Source organism: Homo sapiens, chromosome 22, assembly GCF_000001405.40.
Source record: "Homo sapiens chromosome 22, GRCh38.p14 Primary Assembly".
NCBI lineage: Eukaryota > Metazoa > Chordata > Mammalia > Primates > Hominidae > Homo > Homo sapiens.
Window position 1 is genome coordinate 45709157 of NC_000022.11, and position 25625 is coordinate 45734781.

Sequence of the window (25625 nt, forward strand, 5' to 3'; positions counted from 1 at the left end):
CTGAATCTGTTGCCCCTCTTCTGTTCGCGCACAACAGCCATGCATTCCACTTTCATGGCACTTAGCGCATTTAATTGTCCATTAGACTGTGAGCTCCCTGTAAGGCAGGATTTAGTGTTGTTTGTTATTGGATCTTTAACAAGATAATATCTGGCATGTGATAAGCATTATTTTAGTCATGATTCTTCTGAATCTAAGTGACTGAAGTCCACTTCAGATGGTTTATGCACATAAAGGGATTTATTGGCTTATGCAACTGAAAAATTCCAGGGTCATTGGGTGAAGGCACGGTGAATCCAGGGCTGAAAGATGTCATCAGTATCTGTCTCATCTTTGTCTCATTTTTCTCCTGTGCTGGCTTTGTTGTAAGGCACATTTCCTGCTTCCTGTGTTGGCTCCTGTTCTTGCCTACTCAGGGTTGGCATGGCCCACGGCTGGTCCTCAGACCACTCTTCTCCATTATTGCTCATTCTCTGGGTGACCTCATCTCATACCACAGCTTTAAATACCTCTTCTAAATTGATGATTTCCACATTTATGTTTCTGGCCTTGATCTCTTGCTGAAGCTCTAGGTTTACATATACAGCTTCCTATTATGTGCTTCTAATTGGCATCTGAAATGTATGAAGGCTGCGTCCAAACTTTTGATTTCCCCCACACATAACACCTCCTGTTACTCTACCAATGTTTATCCTTCAGTAACTGGTACCACCATTTACTCGTTTGCTGAGGCCTGGAACCTGAGTCCTGATTTTCTTTCACTCTCACCCACTTATACTCATTAGCCCTATCTTCAAAAGGTGTTCCACATTCACCTACTTCATGCCTCCTCTGCCATAGACATCTTTCATTGCTACTGCCAGAACTTTCTTACTCATCTTTCTGTCTCTCCTTTTGCCCTCTGAATCATCACACAGTAGCCAGAGTGACCTTTTAAAAATTACTGTAGCTGTTGTCACTCCTTGCTTAAATAAACCATTCAGTGCCTTCTTATTGCAACCTAGAAGCAAATCCAAAGTACTTGTCATGTCCTGGCGTCTGACTGACCACCTCATCTTATTTCTTACTACTTTTACTCCTGCTCCTTAGTTCCATCTGGTCTTACTGTTTTTCTTTGAATACTCCAAGTTTGTTCTGTCCTGAATCTTTACATCCGCTGTCTTTCTGCATGGAACCTTCCTTTAGATCTTCCCATGGCTAGCTCTTTTAGGTCTCTGTTCAAATATCTATCATTTCGACTGAGAGACCTTCCCAGCACTTTATGTTCAGTAGTGTTTCCTGTAAACCCGTATCGCTTTACTCTCTTTTATTCATTTGTTTAATAGCACTTACCACTATCGAACATTATACAAATCTTATTTGCTTTCTTGTTTATTGTTGGTTGCTAGAATGTAGGACTAGCTCCATAAGGCCCTGGAGTTTGTCCTGGTCATCATTCTATCCAAAGCACCTAGAACATGTGTTGACAAACTATGGCCCATGGTCTGAATCCGGCCCACTGCTTCTTTTTATAAATAAAGTTTTATTGGAACACAGCCAAGCTTGTTTATCTATTGTCTACGGCTGCTTTCATGTAACAGTGGCAGAGTTGAGTAGTTGTGACAGAGACCATTTGGCCTGCAAAGCTTAAAGTATTTCCTGTCTGGCCCTTTATGGAAAAGTTTGCCAACCCCATCCATTGAAGGGTTTTTGGTAGTAGTATTTGTTGAATAAGTCTGGTGATTGGTGGCATCGTTGTCCTTCAGTCACTTCAGGCTTATCTGAAGCAGATAAGCCTGGTTCTCCTGAACCAGATAAGACTTTGGTGAGAGACCCCCAAAGGGTCTGTATCGTTGTTCTCTAGAACTCTATACAGGCTTCTTCATTTTACATCAGCAATCTATTCCTGAAAATCAGACATTCTGTGCAAAAAAGTGACTGAGAGCCTACTTCCTTCTTAAAAATGGGGACATTATAAAATGTTACATGTCTACCCAAAACCCCAGTCAGTGTCTTAAAATAGAATCAAACTAAAATACTATTCAGCAATAAAAAGGAACAAGTGTTGGTACAAGCCATAACTTGGGAAGATCTCATGGTAATTATAGCAGAGTGAAAAAAAAAAGCCAATGAATCCCCAAAGGTTAAATAATGTATCATTCCATTTACATGACATTCTTGAAATGACAAAATTACAGAAATGGAGAACGGATTAGTGGTTGTCGGGGATTGAGGAAGGATGCTGGAGTTATAGGCGGGTGAACCTGCAAAAGGGGTGCCGAACCGTTCTGGCTCTCACCTGTGAGAGGGGATCTGTGACCCTGCATTATTAAGTTACAGAGAGCTAAAGACATGCACACAGCTACTCCTGAGTAAAGGCACAAGTTAACCTGGGAAACCTGAGTAAGATCCGCACATCGTGTCACTGTCAGCATCTGGGTTGTCACATACTATAGTTTTACAGATGTTACCATTGGGGAAAACTGGGTAAGGGTACACAGAATCTCTCTTGTGTTTTGTAAAACTGCGTGTGCATCTACAATGATCTCAAAATAAAAATATTTAATTAAAAAAAACCCAAACTCGGTAAAGCACCTGTGTATATAACAGACTATCATGTTAGGATGTGCACTGCTTAAAACATTTCTTTCTGATTGCCATAGAATTAGTATAGTTGTCAGCAGACAGTTGGCTTTGTATGCGGGAACATGGAGCCTCTTAATGCCACCATTATGCCAGAAGTGCTTCTTAAATGTCTGTACACAGTTCTGACTTTTTACCAACAGTGTATGGAATGCATCTTGTGATTTTGTGTATACGTGTATATCTTTTTGTGAAATGTTGTATGGAATACTTTAGAATATAAAAAAAAGTTTCTTCTGTAAACATTGACTGGCAAGGGTATTGAGAAGTTTGGGAATTAGAAACAAAGAGGTAATAACCAGATGGATGTTTTTGAGGCATGCAAGTGGCTCTTTTTGGGTCACATTGTCATCCCTGGGGCAGTGCTGTTTGTTAGGGTGTGCAGTCAGGTGACCTCCCCTGGGGGCACAGGCTGTCAGGTTTGGGCCCACTCTTGAAGGAAAAAGCTACCAGGTTTGGGCTCATTCTTGAAGGAAAAAGAATTCTTGTTATCCAAGGAAGGAAAAAAGGGGATGCTGAACAGGGGAAAAAGTGGCAGATATCCACAAGGACTGTCAGTGTTTGGCGAATGCATGTCCTTTTCATTATCTGCTTTTGCTTCAGGAGGGAAACATAGTTTAATTTCTTTGATTTTTGTTGGAGTTGAATTCTGATACATTATTACTGGAAACAGGAGAAGCAGAATACCTTGATACTGAAGGGTAGACAGCGTAGCCAGTGTCACACTGCCAGTGAGTGTTGGGCTGAGACTCAAACCCAGCTCTTTCTGAGACCAAAATTTGTGCTCTTAATCTGTACACCCACTGCCTCCCTTAGAGGACGACATTAAAGGAAGGGTGGCTGGGATGTGCGTGTGTGTAATACGTTTCCCCCAGTGCCTGGCACATGTAGATTCAGGAAATCTATTTATATATTTTTCAGATTATAACTCATTTTCTTCTAGTAGAGGAAGCATCGCCATTGAATCAGTGGACTGTTATTTTTCTAGTTTAATGCTACTCACGTTTAACCCGTTGGAAATGTTATTTAACTCTTTTAACAGGAGAAGGGAGGTTATTTTCTAGACCAGCTTTGTAAGCTTTGTCCAAATTGCTGTGTTAAGCAACTGTGGGTTAGATTTCCCAGATCTCACAACAAAGGAGAGTGGCATTTATTTTCCATAGCACATTTAAATCAAAATTTGTTTATGAGGTATAAAAACATTTTCTAGGTTTTTGAACTGATTGAAATCTATTTTACTCATGTTGTGAGTATAGCATCGCCATTGTATGCATGTATGGATATGGATAATAGATGACCTTCATTAAAAAAAAAATTTCCCTGAAACCCCCCGTCTTTAGGACTGTCTCTGTTTACTGGTGAGGAGTTCGCCTTTCGCTGTCTGTTGGCATGTGCTCCTCGATGCCCACACAGGTGACCTTTACTACCTTCTATTTTGTATATCAGTATTGTAATGCAGATGCTGATTCATCTGCCTGCAACTGTTCACGTACTTTAAAATCAATCATAAATGAGAAAGATTGAGAGAAGGAAAAAGATGAGAAGAGAGACCTTCATGCATTTTGTTTTTTGGCAAGTGTGGAAAATGATGTAAAGTGTAGTTAGTGCTTTGGCATCAACAATGTGATTTGTGAATGTTAGCTTTTCTGTGATGACATTTAAATGATGAATTTCAAGATTAAACTGAGGAGTTCCTTAGGCGAACTTACAGAGTTCTCCTATATGACCGTTCCTCGTCCTTAAAGCCTGAGGAGCCAGGTTCATCTGAATGGTACTTCCACCAAGATGCAGAAATACTGTCACTCTTTAGCAGAATGGTTATTAAGTAGAACGAAGTGTGAGCTTACTTTGCCTGTATATATTGCTTACATTACATACTGAATTATTTGATAGACTATATGTGGTTCAGATATCAAAATGCATAGTTTACCCCCAGCCGTTTACCTAGTTCTTCCAACCACAACCCCTACTTCTCCCCACACTGTTGGGCTTTTTGCTTTTTTCACTAAATAGTACATTTCTGAGATCTTTCCATATTCCTATATAAAGACTTTCCTCAGTTAAAGATCTTTCATTGTATGAATATACCAGGATTTATTTCATCAGTCTCTTCTCTATGGGCATTCTGATTGTTTCCGTTTTTTCACGACTAGAAGCTACTGCCATGAATAGCCTTGGTTGCACATGTCATATCGCATGTGGACAAGTAATGATTGTAGAATAAATTCATAAGTGCAATTCTGGGTCAAAAGGAATGTACTGTTATAATTTTGACAAACACTTCAGGTTGTCCTTCATCGCTATTGTGCCAGTGTCAACTCCCCTGTCCCACATCATTGCTAACAGTGTTAGCAAGATTTGGATTTGCCAGTTCTGCCAAGGTGTAAACCGGCCTTCTTGCACAGTTTTATTTCGTATTTTTCTTATGAGTTGGAGAACCTTTTTTTTCTTTTATGTGTATTCTAATTTTCTTTACCTATTTTTCTATTGGGGTATTGATCTTTATCAGTGTATAGGAGTATTTTCTAGATTAGGGATATCACCCATCATATAAAATAAAATACATGTATTTTTCTGTTTTTGTATTTTGACTTTGTTCGTGGTATTTTATTTTTTATTTTTTTGAGACAGCGTCTCTGTCACTCAGGCTGGAGTGCAGTGGTGCAATCATGGCTCACTGCAGCCTCAATCTCCCAGGCTCAAGTAATCTTCCCTCCTCAGCCCACTGAGAAGCTGGGATCGCAGGTGCATACCACCGCACCTGGCTGATTAATTTTTTATTTTGTAGAGATGGGGTCTCACTATGTTGCCCAGGCTGGTCTTGAAGTCCTGGCCTTAAGCAGTCCTTCCACCTTGGCCTCCCAAAGTGCTGGGAATACAGGTGTGAGCCACTGTGTCCAGCCATATGATACTTTTTTATGTAAAAGTTTTTGATTTTTTTAGTAGATGAATTAATCAGTCTTTTAAAAAAATGTGTTCCGTAGTTTTGATAATAGCTATAAAGGCCTTTCCTCTACCAAGGCTTTCTTCTAGTATATCATTTCAATTTTGTTGTTTAAGTATTTGATTTACTTGGAATTTATGTTGGTTTAAAGGTTGCAGTGTGGATTCACTCTCATTTTTGTTTCTGATGATGCTGGTGGTCCCGGCAACAGAGCACTGTCATGGCTGAGACCTGTCTTCCCTTCTCCTCCGTCCTTGCCCTAGTCCCTATACCCTTACTGCTCCATCCATGGACAACTTTTTTACTTCAACTTTTGCTTCCTAACCACGCATTCCAGCATGCAGAACTCAGTCCTTCCTTTACGATGTCTCAGTTCTACTATTTTAAGTCCTTGAGGATTTTATGAACATATTGATCAAATCACATTTATTGAACATTTGTTAGGAGATTTTTGGTTTTTCAAGAAGAAAATTTCCAAAGTGAAGCAGACCCAGTCTGTTGCCCACTGTTTAAAAACTGTTTATATATATTGTCTGGTTTTATGTTGTTTAAGGTAGGGGGTAAATTGTTATTCCATTATGCCCAGAAGCAGAAGCGATAGTTGGAGATTTTAACACCTGCTTTTCAGCCATGGGCAGGACTCATAGACAAATATCAGTATAGACTGATGTTTTATACATTATATAAACATGATGATATGGATCAAGTTTGTCCAACCTGCAGGCCGCATGCAGCCCAGGATGGCTTTGAATGCTACCTAACACAAATTTGTGAACTTTCTTATAACATGAGTTGTTTTTGTTATTTGCTGTTGTTGTTGTTGTTAAGCTCATTAGCTATTCTTAGTATATTTTATCTGTGCCCCAAGACAATTCTTCTTCCAGTGTGGCCCAGGGAAGCCAAAAGATTGGACACCGCTGATACAGATGATCTTGGTAGTACTGTCGTAGGTAGCCACCTTCACCTGAGTGATATTTATAGACCTTCCCTTAGTACTTCCAAACTCCACTTTCTTTTCACCTGCATGTGTCATGTTCACTAAGGTAGACCATAGGCTGGCCTGTACAAAAGTTTCAGTAAATGTGTAAGGGATTGAAATCATAGAGCACATTCTCTTACTCATAAGATGATTTCTAGAAAAATTCCAAACTTTTGGAAATTAACACATCTGATTGATTTGTCAAAAAAGAAATCACAGGCAAATTAGAAAATATTTTGACCTGAAGTACCAAGTTTTGTGGGATAAAGCAAAAGCAGCCAAGTGTGGTGGCTCATGCCTGTAATCCCAGCACTTTGGGAGTCTGAGAAGGGAGGATAGCTTGAGGCCAGGAGTTCAAGACCAGCCAGAGCAACATAGTAAGACACTGTCTCTGCCAAAAAAATAAAAATAAAAAAAGCTGCGTATGGTGGCACATGCGTGTAGTTCTATCTACTTGAGAGACTGAGGTGGGAAAATTATTCGAACCTAGAAGTTTGAGGGTGCAGTGAGCTATGATCGCACAACTGCACTCCAGCTAGGTGACAGAGCGAGACCCCATGTCTTAAAAAGACAACAAAAACGAAAGCGGCGCTTAGAGGAGAGCTTATTGCTTTGAGTGCTTCCTTTTTTTTTTTTTTTTTTGGAGATAGAGTCTTGCTCTGTCGCCCATGCTGGAGTGCATGGAGTGCAGTGGCATGATCTTGGCTCACTGCAACCTCTGCCTCCTGTGTTCAAGTGATTCTCATACCTCTGCCTCCCGAGTAGTTGGGATTACAGGCATGCACCACCACATCCAACTATTTTTTTTGTGTGTTTTTGGTAGCGATGGGGTTTCACTATGCTGTGTTGGCCAGGCTGGTCTCAAACTCTTGACCTCAAGTAATCCACCCACCTCAGTCTCCCAAGTGCTGGGATTACAAGGTGTGAGCCACGGCCTGGAATGTTTCTATTAATAAAGAAAGGTCTGAAATCAGTGACCCACAGTTCTACTTTGAGAGGATAGAAAAAGAAGAGCATAGTAAGTCCTGAGTAAGTAAGAAAGAAAGAAATAAAAGATGACAGAAATCAATGAAACATAAGACAAAAACAATAGAAAAAATTCACAAAGGCAAAAGTTGATCTTTGACCAACAAAATTGATCAAGAAAAAAGAAAGAGAGCACTAATTACCAACACTATGAAAGAATGTGTAGTTATCACATCAGTCTTCAATAAACTCAAACCTTGGTTGAGGCAACTTTCTTCACCTGAGACACTCTGAAGACCCACGCTTTTGGGTCCTGACTTCCTTTTGAAGCCCTAATAGTATTTTGTTGCTTGTAGTTCCCCAGACACACTGCTGTTCTTTCCTTCTTGCTGTTTTTCTAAGTCCTTTTTTTCCCCTCCTAATTTAAATGCTATCTTCTTTTCCTTCTTCTAGGGATTGGCGAAATACCTCCTCTAGCCTGTTTGATCTTCTTGCCCCCTGTCTGTCACCCCTCTTGCCCCCAGCCTATTGGTTAGATACATTTGTTTCTATTATATAATCCTTAATGTGTATCTGTCAGCACTTAACATGTTCTTCTGTAAATTATCTGACTAAATATGGGTCTTTATTGTTTGGAGAATATATTTGGCAATATGGCTTGTGACTTGGAATATTGCGTTTTTGCTATTCTTATGGGAAAATGCTTTAAATTCTAAGTACCTGAATTATGAATGAGCTTTAAGATCTCAATTTAGTTTGTGTATCCATCTGGGATTGCATAGATTTCTATTGACCTGCCCAGATTGATAGGAATACTGTTTGAGAATTTCAAATATTATCCATTATTTTTAGGAATATTTTACATCAGAGTGTTGATCAGCTATTTTAAATGCTGTAGAGGAAATAGAATATGTATTTGGATTTCGCTTTTATGTGAAGTGACAGTGTATTGTAGTAGTTAATATGCTTCATTTGGTTATCAGACTGAATATAGTTTTATTGTATTTTTGTATTGTTAAGTGATTAAACTATGTGTCAATATATTTAATGCTTGCAGTCAATTTTTATTACTATAACCTGGTTATAATCAGTATATTCCTTAGTTCTTAAGTCTTTTCCTCAGATGCCCTCTGGTAAATATAATTCATAATTAATTAATAATAGTGTTGAATCTTTTTAGTTGTCACAGGGGTACTTTGAAGAACTATGCCTATAATCTTTGCCTTGGGGTTTCCATAAGTTGATCTCTTAAGTTTAGATGAGTGCATTGCTTGACAATGAGGATGTTTTCTTGGTAACTTGAGAATTCTTAAAGAGTGAATAATCAAGCCAGTAATGGAAGTGTGACAAGTCTTTCTCTGGTTCATTATAGCAGTTAGCTTCTGACTAAACCAATTTAATATGTTTTTTGTTTATACCTGATCTTGTTGCTAAATGAAGAATTTTTCTTTCTCAACTTAGATAACAGCTATAGTAGCCCTGTCTTCCCGTTGAATCAATTTAAATTATTTCCATAAAGCTTTCAGAAGTAAAATTGGAGAAAAATATTTTTAGGATTTTTTTTCCTTTTAGCTGCTGATAGATTAATAGTATGTGAACCTTTTAAGACATTTAAGATTACAGCAAATCAAAAATTCACTGAAAAGAAATGCTTTTGTGTGTAAGTGGTGCCTATAAAGTAGATAAGGGCATGTCTCTTTTACTATGTTTCAAGTAACCAAACTTTCCTCCTCTTTTTTCCCTAGGTTCTTGATTATTACAGACCTCTTTCTGAAAAGCCCGGAATTGGTACAAGCCATGTTTCCCAAACTGAACAATCAAGAAAGGTAACCCCCCAACCAGCGTGGTCTGGAGTATTTAGCATTCCATATAGGGTATTCGATGCACGTGACTGAAAAGCTGTGTGGTTTCTGAGTTGGCACAGAATCTCTAAATACATGTTTCTGTGTTGGTAATGGTTTTAAATTGGTTGGTTAACATTACAGCTTAGCCACAGTAGGCAGTGATTTATGGAGGGTAGCAGGATCCAGGTTGGTGCCATTATTCAGTAAATGCATATTAAGAAAAACATTAAGAACAAAATATTATGCATATGCCTGGATTTTAGAATAGTAATTTATGTAACTGTGTATTACAGTTGAATATTTGAGGTGTACTCATTTGTTTAGGTCATGGGTGTTATTATTTGTGATACACTCTGCTAGGTTTGTAGGTTTCTAATGGATAATTTGGACTAAAATAAAATTGACGCCCGTCCACAATGTCACAGTTACTGTAGTAGGAAAAACAGTGACCTAGGAGTTCTAAGACACTGGCCCTGTGCTTTGCTGTGATTATAGTTCTTTATGTGACCTTGTTGGGATTCAGGTTCGTGTGTGTGTGTATTTTTTTTTTTTTTCCTAAACCTCTATGGTAAGGTACAAGGGATTCAGTTTCTTGACCTGTAAATTAAGGAGATTGAATAAATAATTTGCAGTACACTTCATTTCAATAGAATATATTTTTCCTAACCTTATTAGAAATGTTGCCTTAGGAAAATAACAAAATATATTCAGAAACTACAGATCTAGTGATGAAAATCTCTTAAAGTTGTTAATCTTTTGATTGTAGTCACGAGTTTTAGTGGTTTTGGACTTTTTACTTTGTATTTAGGTTTCAGTAGTTAAGCTTTGTGTACTTTTGTAGTCTTTTATTAATTAGGTCATTTTTCTTCTTTAATATCTCAAACAGGAAAAGCTTATGCTTTTAAAGTCATATGAAATACCAGGTTTATAAGTCCAATTCCAGTGCTTCTTTCCCTATATGTATACCCCCATTACAGATAGAGAAGTATTTGTAGTTTTTTGACCTAAAAGAGATAATACGACATACAGTGCTAAAAATTAGTATTTTTTTTTTTTTGCAGTAAGGAACACCTGAATACAGGAAGAATGCACAGTTTAATTGTATTTTAATATTCAAGCTGATATTTTCCATAGTCTATCAAAATTATCTATTTTTAAATGGTTTATTACATAACTACATGGTGATGGTAGACTAAAAATGTTTTATTTTTATTGATAAAGTTGTATCAGGTGCATCCTTACTTCATTCAAGGTTCTGCTCAGTTGTCACCTCCTCTTGCCCCTGCTTTATTTTTCTTCTGGAGGAGATGAGCTGTCATTTCATCACATCATTCATTCATCGTGTTGTGTCACATACCTGCTTGTTATTGTAGCACATTTCCATTAGATTGTTGGCACCCTGAGGGCAAGGATTCATCCCTTCTTATTCTTCATTCCACATTTCCAGTCAGTGGTTGGCACACAGCAGGTGCTCAAAAAGAAAAAAAAATAGTTTTTCAGTGAAAGCATGAGTGAATGAATGAATATTCTTACTCAATAAAGTGTTCCTCTAGTATATTGATTAATGTAATCTTATCTTCTAAGTTGGAAGCCTCAAGGTTATACTCAGCTTCTCCACTTTACCTTTTCAGTTCATACTGGTCAGTAAACCTTATCAGTTATACTATCCCAAGGTCTTATGTATTTATTCTCTTTTTTGTCACAGCCCTAGTTTACCCTATGGAATCTTTGACTAGATTTTGACAATAGCCTTTGTCAAAAAATTGTGGTAAATCACACATAATATAAAGTTTACTATTGTAACCTTTTTTTTTTTTTTGGAAAAGGTATAAGACAGGGTCTTGCTGTGTGTTGCCCAACCTAGAGTGCAGTGGCTGCTCTCAAGTGTGATCGTAGTGCACTACAGCCCCAAGCTCCTGGCCTCAAACAATCCTCCCACCTCAGCCTCCCCAGTTGCTGGGAGTACGGGTGTGGGTCACCATGCCAGACTACCATTGTAACCATTTTTTAATGTACGGTTCAGGGGGTGTGAAGGATGTTCACATTGCTGTGCAGTGAACCTCTGGAACTTTTTCATCTTGTGTATCAGAAACTCTGTACCCATTAACAATAAACTACAATGAGGTACCACTTGATACCCATTAGGATGGCTACTATCAACAAACTGAAAAGAGGAAGTTTGGGCAAGGATATGGAGAAATTGGAACCCTTGTGCACTGTTTATTTCCTACTGGTGGGAATGTAAATGGTGCATCTACTGTCTTAATCTGTTTTCTGCTGCCATAACAGAGTCCTGGAGAGTGGGTAATTTATAAAGAAAAGAAATTTATTTCTAACAGTCTGAGGCTGGGAAGTCCAAGAACATGGCACTGGCATTTGGTGAGGGCTCTCTTGCTGTGTTATCCCATGGTGGGAGGTGAGAGGGCAAGTGAGTGCATGTGAGCATTACAGAGACACAGTCCCTGCCCTTACTGTGAGGGTAATAACCATGTGTTGTTATGTACAAGAATGACAGTGCTGTGTAAATTCTTAAGCTTTTTTCTTGTGCTAGTTCTTTTCATTGTTGTCAAAATTAGTTGACTTCTTCACCCAGAGGCTGGTAGTCTATTCATGCAGATTACTCGGTGGGGAAATTTTGGATATAGACTCATCATCAATTCACGTGGCATGATTCAGCAAAAATGAGAGCCTACATTTACATACTTGTCTGGTCTCCTTTCCAGGTGAATTGGAGTGAATATTAACAAATTGGACTAGCTGCTCGTGGTAAACAGCTTGTGTAGTTTTCAGGTTTATGATCTCTGTGTACGGCATAGTAGTTAAGGACAGATGCTAGTGCTGCCGCTTACTACTTTGGATAGGTTAATGAGAATAATAGTAGCTACCCCATGAAATTGTTATGATAACTGATTGAAATGTGTATAAAACTCTCAGTGCCTGGCATGTAATGGTCACCCCCGTAAACGTGTTGCAGGGAAGAAGATAATTGACTTTGGCATCAGAAAGAGTTCAAATACCACCTCAGTACCTCTGTAACCCAGGGCAAATACCTTAATCTATAACCTGAGCTATTGCTATTTCTGCTTCCATGCTCTTACTACTATTACTGCAACTACAAGTCTAACAACTACTGCTACTATGCTGATGACCTTGCCGTTTTCTCCAGGTAGCATCACCGTTATGTATAGAAGGCACCATGTAGCCCTTGTCATTTAATCCTCACAGACTCTGTGAAATAGGTATTATTCTTGACATTTTCCAAATTGGAGTTCTGAGGCCTGTAGTTCCAGCTACTCGGGAGGCTAAGCCAGGAGAATCACTTTAACTTGGGAGGTGGAGGTTGCAGTGAGCCAAGATTGCTTCACTGCACTCCAGCCTGGGCAACAGAGCGAGACTCTGTCACATGAAAAAACAAAACAAAACAAAACAAAACAGGAATCGTAATTTTAAGGCAGACTATGTAAGTACTGTATTTAATCAGGGGAGAATTAGAAATAGAATGCTAATGACAGCCAGTGATTGAGAGACAAAATTATGGCAGCATGGCTCTGTTTGGAGAGGTGTGTCTGGTGAACTCAGAGCAGCCTGAGTGATGATTTCTGGGTTAAGGGAGCAAGACTTTCACACCAATGTGTAATAATTCTAGACGGCTGTAGCCTCTAACCCCTTTAGCTGGGTCTTTCCTACTTTTGCATCCTTCACACCACAGTGAATAAGTCAATGAGTAACTAGCATTTGTCAGACCACTTGTATTCTTTTATATTTTCAAGGAAGAGATAGAGGGTTGGGTGGAGTGTCTGGTAGGGAGACCCGTATACCAGACTAAAGAGCTTTTAGACTCATTCCTTAACAGTGGGAACCATTAGAAGGTTTAAATGGCAGATGACTTAATGTAAGTAGGATCATTTAATGAAGGATAGTCTATTCTGAGGTGATAGTCAAACTTAGTTTGTACTTTTATATTTTAAAGATTCATTTCTGACTTTGACTGCTTCTTTCCTTTGAAATCACTCAGTACCCACATCGTTAGCTCTCTCATCTTGTAACCATATAATAAAGCTGCATTATACAGGCGGCATCTGCTGGGCCAGGGAGAAGTTGAGCCAGAGGAGGCTGGCCTGTGTGTCATTGTGTAAGGAAGGCAGTGTGTGCTTCTACTCCCTTTAGCACTTGCAGATCTCCCTGCACCTCATCCGCTTGGACCCCCGGAGTCTCCTGTTGCTGCTGAACAACTTTGATTTCCACCACCTTGGGGCCCACCCTTCCTGTCCTCACCTCAGGACTGCCCATTTGGGATCTGCCCCTGATTCAGGATCTGCACTATTGTTCGTTTTTTTTCTTCAGTTGTAATCCATCTGTTTTCTTTCTCATTTCTCCACATCCCTATCTGTGGATACCTTAACACTCACAAATCTGATAAAATTATTTTCTTCTATTTCATTACCTATTCAAGAAATAGTGAACTAGGTGCCAAATTCCCTGAAGCCAGGGATCCTGACTTCTTATACTTAGCAATAACTGTTACATTATGTAATCCAATTTAAAAGGAATATATTTAGAGTACGCATTTGGGCCACGTGGAATAGGTGGCCTCTTAGCATTCCTTGAAAGTCATATGTGTGTGTGTGTTTATATATATATATGTGTGTGTGTGTATATATATATATGTAGATAGATCCACTTATGATAGAGATATATATAGATAGGTATATCTATATTTTATATAGACATAAAATTTCAGTAGCTTTTGGGGTACAAGTGGTTTTGGTCACATGGATGGGTTGTATAGTGGTGTGGTTTTGGTCACATGGGTGGGTTGTATAGTGGTGTGATTTTTGGTCACATGGATGGGTTGTATAGTGGTGTGGTTTTGGCTACATGGATGGGTTGTATAGTGGTGTGGTTTTGGTCACATGGATGGGTTGTATAGTGGTGAAGTCGGCGATTTTAGTGCACCTGTCACCTGAGCAGTGTATATTATACCTGATATGTAGTTTTTATTCCTTACCCTCCTCCTAACTTCCCGCCTGCTGAGTCTCCAGTGTCCATTATACTACTCTGTGTGCCTTTGGGTACCCATAGCTTAACTCCCACTTGTAAGTGAGAACATATGGTATTTGATTTTTCCATTTCTGAGTTCTTCACTTAGAATAATGGCCTCCAACTGGGCATGGTGGCTCACACCTGTAATCCCAGCACTTTGGGAGGTGGAGGAAGTCAGATCACTTGAGACCAGGAGTTTGAGACTAGCCTGGCCAGCATGGAGAAACCCCGTCTCTACTAAAAATACAAAAATTAGCCAGGCGTGGTGGCGCTTGCCTGTTATCCCAGCTACTCGGGGAGGTTGAGGCATGAGAATTGCTTGAACCTGGGAGACGGAGGTTGCAGTGAGATCACACTACTGCACTCCAGCCTAGGTGATAGAGTGAGACCCTGTCTCAAAAAAAAAAAAAATAAAAGGCTTCCAGCTCCATCCAAGTTGCTGCATAAGACATTATTTCATTCTTTTTTATGGTTGAGTAGTATTCCATTGTGTATATATATATATATCACGTTTTCTTTGTTCATTCCTCAGTTGATGGGTACTTACATTGGTTCTATATCTTTGCAATTGTGAATTGTTCTGTGATAAACATACGCGTGCAGGTGTCTTTTCCTTTGGGTAGATACCCAGTAGTGGGATTGCTGGATTGAATGGTAGGTCTACTTTTAGTTCTTTGAGAAGTCCCCATACTATTTTCCATGAAGGTTTTACTATTTTACTTTCCCCCCAGCATTGTATATGCGTTCCTTTTTCACTACATCCATGGCAACATCTGTTGTTTTTTTTGACTTTTTAATAATGGCCACTCTGACAGGTTAAGGTGGCATCTCATTGTGGTTTTAATTTGCATTTCCCTGATGACTAGTGATGGTGAGCATTTTTTCATGTTTGTTGGCCATTTGTAGATCTTCTTTTGGGAAATGTCTATTCATGTCATTTGCCCACTTTTTGATGGAATTATTTGTTTTTTTCTCACTGATTTGTTTGAGTTCCTTGTAGATTCTGGATATTAGTTCTTTGTCAGATGCATAGTTGCAAATGTTTTCTCCCATTCTGTTGGTTGTCTGTTTACTCTGATGATTATTTCTTCCGCTGTGCAGATGCATTTTAGTTTAACTAGGTCCCATTTATTTAGTTTTTGTTCCATTTGCTTTTGGGATCTTAGTCATAAATGCTTTGCCTTTGACAATGTCATAAAGTTTTTCCTAGGTTTTCTCCTAGAATTTTTATGGTTTCTGGTCTAGATTTAAATCTTTGATCCATCTCAAGTTGATTTTTGTGTATGGTGAGAGATCTAGTTTCATTTTTCTACCTGTGGCTATCCAGTTTTCCCAGAACCATTTATTGAATAGGAGGTTCTTTCCCCAGTTTATGTTTTTGTATGCTTTTATGGAAGGTTAGTTGATTGTAAGTATTTGGCCTTATTTCTGGTGTTTTTATTCTGTTGTATTGGTCTGTATATCTAGCTTTATATCAGTACAATCCTGTTTTGGTTACTATAGACTTGTAGTATAATTTGAAGTTGGAGTAATGTGATGCCTTAGAATTGTTCTTTTTGCTTAAGATTGCTTTGGATATTTGGGCTCTTTTTTGGTTCCATATGAATTTTAGGATTATTTTTTCTAATTGTATGAAAAATGATGTTGGTATTTTGATAGGAATTGCATTGAATCTATATATTGCTTTGGGCATATGATCATTTTAATAGTATTGATTCTTCTAATCCATGAGCATGGGATGTATTTCCATTAGTTTGTGTCATCTGTGATTTCTTTCAGCCATGTTTTATAGTTTTCCTTGTAGAGATCTTTCACCTTCTTGGTTAAATATATTTCCAGGCATTTGATTTTTTTTTTTTTTTTTTGCAGCTATTTTAAAAGGGACTGTGTTCTTGATTTGTTTCTCAGCTTAGTTATTGTTGATGTATACCAGTGCTACTGATTTGTGTACATTGATTTTGTTACCTGAGACTTTACTGAATTCATTGATCAAATCTAGGAGTCTTTCGGTAAAGTCTTTAGGGTTTTCTAGGTATATGATCGTATCATTGGCAAACAGAGATAGTTTGCCTTCCTTTTTTCCAATTTGGATGCCCTTTGTTTATTTCTCTTCCCTGATTGTTCTGGCTAGACCTTCCAGTGTTATACTGAATAGAAGTGGTGAAAGTGGACATCCTTGTCTTGTTCCAGTTCTTAGGGGCAATGCTTTCATCTTTTTCCCCATTAAGTATGAGGTTGGCTATGGGTTTGTCATGTGTGGCTTTTACTATTTTGAGATATGTTCCTTCTATGCCCAGATTTTTATCATAAAGGGATGCTGGATTTTGTTGAACGTTTTTTCTGCGTCTATTGGGATGATCATATTTTTTTTGTTTTTAATTCTGTTTATGTGATGAGTCACATTTACTTGGGTATGTTGAACCATCCCTACATCCTAAGATGAAACCCACTTGATTATGGTGAATTATCTTTTTGCTGTGCCGATGGATTCAGTTTTCTAGTATTTTGTTGAGGATTTTTGCATCTGATGTTCATCAGGGATATTGGTCTGTGGTTTTCTTTTTTTGTTATGTCCTTTACTGCTTTTGGTATCAGAGTGATACTGGCTTCATAGAGTGAATTAGGTTAGAGTTAGGTAGGATTCTCTCTTTCTCAACCTTTTGGAATAGTTTCAGTATGATTGGTGCCAATTCTTTGAATGTCTGGTGGAATTTGGCCATGTATCCGTCTGGCCCTGGGTTTTTTGTTTTTTTGGCAATTTTTGTTATTGATTCAATCTCACTGGTTGTTACTGGTCTGTTCAGACCTCCTATTTCTTTCTGATTCAAGCTAGGAGGGTTGTACGTTTCCAGAGATTTGTTCATTTCCTCTAAATTTTCTTGTTTGTTTGCACAAAGGTATTCATAGTGTCCTTAAATGGTCTTTTGTATTTCTGTGGTGCCAGCCATAATGTCTCCATTTCCGTTTCTATTTGAGCTAATTTGAATTTTCTCTCTTCTTGGTTAATCTAGCTAATGGTCTATCGATTTTATTTATTTTTTCAAAGAACCAACTTTTATATTTTGATCTTTTGTTTCGATTTCATTTAGTTCTGCTCTGATCTTTGTTATTTCTTTTCTTTTGCTAGCTTTGGGTTTGGCTTGTTCTTCTTGAGACAGGGTCGTGCTGTGTCACCTAGGCTGGTGTGCAGTGGCACGATCACTGCAGCCTTGACCTTCCTGGGCTGAAGTGATCCTCCCATCTCAGCCTCCCAAGTAGCTGGGACTACAGGCATGCACCACCATGCCTGACTAATTTTTTAATATTTTGTAGAGACAGTATTTCACCGTGTCGCCCGGGCTGGTCTCAAACTTTTGGGCTAAGCAATCCTCCTGCCTTTGCCTCCCAAAGTGTTGGGATTACAGTTGTAAGCCACCACACCTGGCCTAGTTGGTTCTGTTTCTCTAGTTCTTTGAGGTATGATGTTAGATTGTCAACTTGTGGTCTTTCAGACTTTTCGATGTAGGCATTTAGCACTGTAAACTTTCCTTTTAGCACTGCTTTTGCTGTATCCCAGAAGTTTTGATAAATTATATCTCTGTTATCATTTATTTTGAATAACTTTTAAATGTCCGTCTTGATTTCATTGTTAACCCCCAAATCATGCAGGAGCAGCTTGTTTAATTTCCGTGTATTTATGTAGTTTTGAGGGTTCCTTTTGGAATTGATTTCTAGTTTTATTCTATTGTGGTCTGAGAAGATACTTGATATAGTTCTGTCTGTCTGTCTATCTATCTATATCTATCTATCTATCTATCTATCTATCTATCTATCTATCTATCTGAGACTGAGTCTCGCTCTGTTGCCCAGGCTGGGGTGCAGTGGCACGATCTTGGCTTACTGTAACCTCTGCCTCCTGGGTTCAAGTGATTCTTCCGCCTCAGCCTCCTGAGTAGCTGGATTACAGGCCCCTGCCACCACGGCTGGCTAGTTGTTTTTGTATTTTTAGTAGAGATGGGGTTTCACCATGTTGGCCAGGCTGGTCTCGAATGCCCGATCTCAGGTGATCCCCCATCCTCGGCCTCCCAAAGTACTGGGATTTCAGGTGTGAGCCACCACACCCAGCCAATATATTTTGATTTTTAAAAAAATAAATTGAGACTTGCTTTGTGGCCTGCCATGTGGTCTGTCTTTTCTTAGGTCTAGTAACTGTTTTGTGAATCTGGGAGCTTCAGAGTTAGGTGCATATATATTTAGGATTATAATATCTTCCTGTTGGATCGATCCTTTTATCATCATATAATGACCTTCTTTGTCTTTTTTTTACTGTTGTTGCTTTAAAGTCTATTTTATCTGACATAAGAGCTGTTCTGCTTGCTTTCGGTTTCCATTTGCATGAAATATCTTTTTCCACCCCCTTTACTTTGATTCTGTAAGATTCCTTATGTTTTAGGTGAGTCTCTTGAAGACAGCAGGTATTTGGTTTGTGATTTTTTTTTTTAATCCATTCTGCCAATCTGTATCTTTTAAGTGGAGCATTTAGATGATTTATATTCAATGTTAATACTGAGATGTGAGGTACTATCCCAGCCATCATGTTGATTGTTACCTGGATATTTTGTGTTCTCCATTGTGTTACTGTTTTATAGGTGCTGTGCATTTTGTGCTTTCAAGAGGTTCCATGCTGGTGCCTGTCGACCTTTTATTTCAAGCTTTAGAACTTTTAGCCTCAATTTATTTTTAAAGATTATATATAAATAAGGGAAAACAGAAATTCTCTAATACTGTGCTCAACTGAGTGGACCGTGTATTAGTTTTATTTTGGATTAATTATTGTCACAAGAAATCTGACGTTTTAGGAGTTTTGAGAATTGCTAAGGTCTGTAGGTGATTTTTCCAGACTGATGATATTTCCCATCATTTGGCCACAGTACAGGAAGCGTTTGCTATAGTTTTATTTCTTACTTGAAGCAGTAAATAATTTAAATTTTTTTCTTGGTAAGAAATGTTCCATGCCTAATTTGAGTGTATTTACCCTTATTTGCTAATAAGCAGTTTAGATGTTCGTACCCTGTCTTCTATAGAAATTAGAATTATACGTATAATCCCAAATCAAAATGTAATTTTGAGCAAATGTGCTAATTGATTTATGCTAGACAGATTGACCTATGTGTGATTCATTTTTCCTAGGAGAAGGAAAGAGATGGTTGAAAAGAAATATTTATTTGGTAACTTATATATTGATGTAAAAATGGCACAGTCTTGGTCTTCAGATTTGTGTTTGTGTAAACTAAAATAAATAGTAAAGTTTCACAGTAAAGACTACCAAATGAGTGGTTAAAGCACCTGGCTCAGGGCACAGATTGAATCCTAGCTTAGACTCTCAGTGGTTTTGTGACACTGGACAAGTTAATTAACCTCACCAAGCCTTATTTACCCACCTTTAATGTGAAACTAATGGCAGTACCTGCCTCATGGAGTTTTTGTGAGGATTAAGTGATACAATGTGTGTAACATGCTTAGCTCCGTAGAAAATGGTGAATGAATGTTAGCCCGTTTCACTTTGCTGTTGCTAGTGTCGTCGATGTGTTCATACAAAAAACTGAGCATGTCTAAAATGTCCAATTATTTTAATGTTGAAAGTAATGGACATAAAAGGTGCATTAAGCAATTCTAGTTTCTGTGGCCAAGACACATCAAAGAAATGAAGAATTTAAAAAATAGGTGATTGATGAAGATTAACTTTATTCATGTTTTTCCTAGCTAGACATTAGAAGCAAGGTAAGGAATTTAAAATAATAATATTCCCTTAAAGTTGCTTTCCTAGGTATTTTTAGCATTGTATAATTTAAGTATTATAGATTCATGCAGAAATCCTTTATGTTTTACAGAGTTACACTGTTAGACCTTATGATAGCCAAGATAACGAGTGATGAGCCACTCACCAAGGATGACATCCCTGTGTTTTTGCGGCATGCTGAGTTGATTGCAAGCACCTTTGTGGATCAGTGCAAGACTGTGCTCAAGCTGGCCTCTGAGGAGCCTCCTGATGATGAGGTAAGGGAGGCAGATTTCCCAATCTCGGGTAAAAGAGAATGGACAGATTTTCTAACTCAGCCAAGTCCTGTATGAGAATTCTTTTTTAAAAGCTTTAAAAAATATTATGTAAGTAATGTATCCATATATGAGAATAGTTGGAAAATTTAGATAAGGGAAAACAGTGTCCTTATTCCTACCATCCAGAGTCAATGACTTAGGCAAATTCTGGTTAATTTTCTAGACAGATGACATCAGATACATGCACACAGACGTAGACATGTGCACATATGTATCTATTAAAAGTGGAGCCTTTCTGTGCCTTCTGTTTGCAGGTTCCCATTTTTTCTTCGGAATGTAAGCTCTAGGAGGGCAGAAATTTTGACTGTTGTGTCCATAGTACTATGTATATGGTAGGCACTGAACAAGTATTTGCTGAATGAATAAATAAATAATACATTGTAAATGTCTTTTTAAATAAATGCCAACATAGGCTGGGCACGGTGCCTCACACCTGTAACCCCACTTCTTTGGGAGGCCAAGGCGGGAGGATCGCTTGAGCCCAGGAATTCCAGATCACCCTGGGCAACATGGTGAAACCCCATCTCTGTAAAAAATACAAAAATTAACTGGACATGGTGGCACATGCCTATAGACCCAGCTACTTGGGAGGCTGAGGTGGGAGGGTCACTTGAGCCCAGGAGGTTGAGGCTGCGGTGAGCCATGATTGCCCCACTGCCCTCCAGCTCGGGTGATGCAGTGAGACCCTTGTCTCAAAAAAAAAAAAAAAAAAAGCCAACATAACATTTCAAGTAAAGAATTTCCTATTTATTTGTCCAAATCCCTGTAGTTGGACATTTAGGTTGTTTGTTTGTTTGTTTTGAGACAAAGCCTTGCTCTGTCGCCCAAGCTGGAGCACAGTGGCACAATCTTGACTCACTGCAACCTCTGCCTCCTGGGTTCAGTCAATTCTCCTGTCTTGGCTACCCAAATAACTGGGATTATAGGTGCACACCACCACCATGCCCAGATAATTTTTGTATTTTTGGTAGAGACGGGGTTTCGGCATATTGGCCAGGCTGGTCTTGAACTCCTGACTTCATGTGATCTGCCTGCCTCGGCCTGCCAAGGTGCTGGGATTACTGGCATAAGCCACCACATCTGGCAGTAGGTTGTTCTTATTTCTACTTATTTTAGATAATACTGTAGTACATGCCTTTATAGTTACATCTTTGCACATTTCCACAGCTGTTATCCTAGGACATAATCTTAGAAGTGAAATTGCTATGTATAAGGATATCACATGTTTAAAGCTCTTGATACATACTTCCAAACTGCTTTCTAGACAGTTTGCTTCTTCTCTTCTTTATAGGAGATTCCTAGTGGTATACTGTCCTGGTTAATTATTTAAACTATTTTTTATTCTCCTTAAGCCTACCTTAGATCATTCAGGTCTTGTTTTATCAGGGCGTGGAAGGGAGCTTATGTTAATTCTCTATCCCTTGTCTTTACTTCAGAACTTCCTGTTTTTATCTATTCTCCCTTTCTTCTGTCATAAAGTTAGAATTGTTCTTTCTCTGGACCACTCAGCTGTAAAAAGGGATGCACTTGTGATACAACAGGGAAGAATCTCAGAAGTGCTGAGGGAGAGAAGCCAGACAGACTAGAAAACATGCTGGCTGATTCCATTTCCGTGGGATTCTGTAGCAGGCCAGATATATCGGTCATGACAGAAAATAGATCAGATGTCACCTGGGTCTGGAAATGAATGAGTGGAATTGATTGCAGGGGAACACGAGGGAACTTTCTGGATAGTAGAATGTGGCACTTAGCTGTATACCTTGACACAACTTTGTACTGTATGCTTAAGATGGGTGTATTTCATTGCATGTATATTATACCTCAATAAAGCTGATTTAAACAATAAAAGATGATAGAGAGTTCCTTTGTATGCTGATATGAATGGTCAGGTAGAGAGGGAGTAATTGATGCTGGAATCACTGTTGGCAAATGGGCAACACTGGAGGAGAGGGATTGGAATCCAGAGTGGATACTCATCCACTGTCCACAGGCGGGAATGTAGAGAATGTGATCCGATACTGTGAAACTGTTAACTCCTGTTGTAAATGCAGCTCATGGCTATGACTGCTCGCCCACGAGAGTGTATTTCCTTTTTTGTGAATATACTTTCGTTCAGGACCATTTTGATATTGATTTTCTGTGCTTTGTCATATAGACCATGTTAGATCTTACTAATCATTTCGTTAACTTTAGTTCTCATTTTCTGTGATAGGAAAGAAAGGTCTTTATTCAGGGGCTTGCGTTTACTTTCTGGAGATAGATTTGCCTTTGTTTCCAGCAGGAGGAGCAGTGAGTCATGCTTAAGAAAAGTTTTAAAAATTCTCTAAGAGACAGAGAAAAGACAGATCACAGCTTTAAACTTTTCAGGGCACTTCTGTTTAAAATATAGGTGATTTCAGTATTGTAGTGAGAAATTCCTGGTGTAACTTTTCATATTTAGGAAAACTTCTATTTTTCCTTTGGACTTTTTTCTCTAAGATGGGAAGTATTTTTATATATTAATGGAATGGAAAGTTGTAGACTGGGAACAGTGGCTCATGCCCGTAATCCCAATACTTTGGGACGCCAAGGCGTGGGAGGATTGCTTAAGCCCAGGAGTTGGAGACCAGCCTGGGCAACATAAGGAGACTCCATCTGTACAAAAAAAAAACACAAAGAATTAGCTGGGTGTGGTGGTGTGTGCCTGTGTTCCTAGCCACCGGTGAGGCTGAGGTGGGAGGCTTGCCTAAGCCCAGAAGATTGAGGCTGCAGTGAGCTGTGATTGCGCTACTGCATTCCAGCCTGGGGAAGAGTGAGATCCTGTCTCCAAAAAAAAAGAAAAAATTGTAGGCAGTTTTCTTTTGCAAAGCCAAATTAATTTACTTTTGGAAGTTTATTGAGCTATACATTTATGACTTGTGCGTATTAATGCACATATGTCATACTTTTTTTTTTTTTTTAAAAGAGGACCACTTTGCCAGTATTTAAATATGCCAAAGACCAAGTGCTATACTGGAGCTGGCCTGTGGTGACTTCTAAGAGTTGATTATTAAGTGCTTAGAAATTTGTGAGCTGATTGTTAAATTGTTGGTACCTTGAAATCATCCATGGTGGAAGTAGTTGTGCCATGGAAACCAGCAAATGCTACAAATCAGGGTTTTCCACCTGCCTCTTCCACCCCAGCCATTCTTCTGCCAAACCACTGCATTTACTCATTGGTGATCTTTTTAGGACAAGATAGATATTCAGTAAAGTTCTCAATGCTATGACTGAAAAGTGAGAATGGAAACAGTTGTATTTATAGCATGTGTTTTTTAATTTATGTAATTGTTTGGCTTTAAAATCCCAAGGTTTTCTTCATACGTTTCTTTATAAAAATAGTTTTGGGTTCTCATGTTAATGTACTTATTCCTGTCTTTTGATATATTTTGTATACTTGTTTCCAGTTTTTGATATATTTTTGTCAGTTCAGAATCTTGTTCACTTGTAGCAAGCCTTGCCTTTTCTCTGAAAGCTCAAAAAACATTCCTTTTAGCTTTGTATTTTCTGATATCCATATATTACAATAATTGTTGCCAGGTTGTGGGATTTGCATTCTGTTTTAATCTTTGCAACCCCAGGTTAGGCCATACTGTAGTACCTGTTATGCAGTAGGTATTACATATTTAATTACATAATACATATTTAATACATATTCTACAATAAATAGTGTATTTTTTCCACATATTAAGGGCTTAAATTTTTGTATTACGCAAATAATGCTTGCTTTGTTGTTAAAAATTATTTAAGCTGAAGTCAGTGAAACATAAAGTTACAAAGTTTCAGCCAGGCGTGGTGGCTCATACCTGTAATCCCAGCACTTTAGGAGGTCGAGGTGGGCAGATTGCCTGAGGTCAGGAGTTTGAGACCAGCCTGACTAACATGGTGAGACCCCCGTCTCTACTAAAAATACAAAAATTAGCCGGGTGTGGTGGCGGATGCCTGTAATCCCAGCTACTCGGGAGGCTGTCCCAGCTACTCGGGAGGCGGAGGCAGAGAATCACGTGAACCCGGGAGGCGGAGGTTGCTGTGAACTGAGATTGTGCCATTGCACTTCAGCCTGGGCGACAGAGCAAGACTCCCATCTTAAAAAAAAAAAAAAGTTACAAAGTTTTCCCCTTTTTGCCCAGCCTCCATTTGTTTTCTATAGATCTGCATATCCTTTTTTTTTTGTTTTCTTTTCAAAGGTCTTTTTTTGTATATACACACCTATATGTTTTTTGTTTTCATTTTTTGCACTATTCTTCAACTTGCTGTTTTTACTTATGATGTAACTTGTACATCTTTGCACTTTAGCATGTGTATATTCATTGTATGTTTTTAATAGTTGAATAATATTTAACTATATAGACTCATCATAATTTTTTCATTTGTTCCCTATAGACTTTCCAGCTGCTTTCAGGTTGCTTTTTTTTTCTTTTAACCTTTACAAATAATGTTATAGTGAACATCCTTGTACAAATTTCGGTTAAGTAAATCAAATCCAGGTTATAAATTCCTGGAGTTGAATTGCTGGGTTGAAGAATTATGTGTATTTAAAAACTTTAGAGAGATTTCTAAGTTGCACATCAGTGCAACACAAGATTGCACGAGTTGCCTTTTGCAGATCTGATTTAATTACTATTTCTCGTTAATGTTTTTCAGTGACCATTATGTTTGTTTTTGCATATTAGGTTACTCTTTAAAATGCATTTATTAAAAAGCATTTTCTGGAAATTAGTCTTTCTGTCATACATACAGTAAACTATTGTTTACGTAATTTTTGTTTGAATTTATTTCTGATGTTCTGTTAGCCTTGTAGTCGTTTTTTGTTTGTGTTTAATCTAGTTGAGGTTATCAATTTTATCCTTCTGGCCTCTGGATTTTTTTTTTTTTTTTTGACAACTGACAGCCAAGAAGATTTTTGTTTGTTTGTTTGTTTTTTAAGTAAATTCTCCACTTAGATTGTGGAAATACAAACCTACATAGTCTAGTTCTTTCAGTACTTAGTTCTCATTTTTTATTTATCTAGAATTTATTTTTGAGTAAGGAGTGAGTTATGGATCCAAATGAATTATTTATGTCTTTTGACTATCCAAGATTATAAAATCTTTTGGTGTGAGACTGACTGGGT

At 38.3% G+C, this 25625-nt stretch overlaps 1 protein-coding gene across 3 annotated transcripts in view; it reads left to right on the forward strand.

Moving 5' to 3' along the window:
• The window catches only part of ATXN10 (ataxin 10), a 173474-nt gene that overhangs the window by 37323 nt on the left and 110526 nt on the right, over positions 1-25625 (forward strand). For all 3 annotated transcript variants that reach the window (NM_013236.4, NM_001167621.2, XM_047441314.1), the window contains 2 exons: positions 9257-9337; positions 20269-20434. In NM_013236.4, coding sequence (NP_037368.1) covers positions 9257-9337; positions 20269-20434 — 247 coding nt within the window. The remainder of the gene's footprint in view (positions 1-9256; positions 9338-20268; positions 20435-25625) is intronic.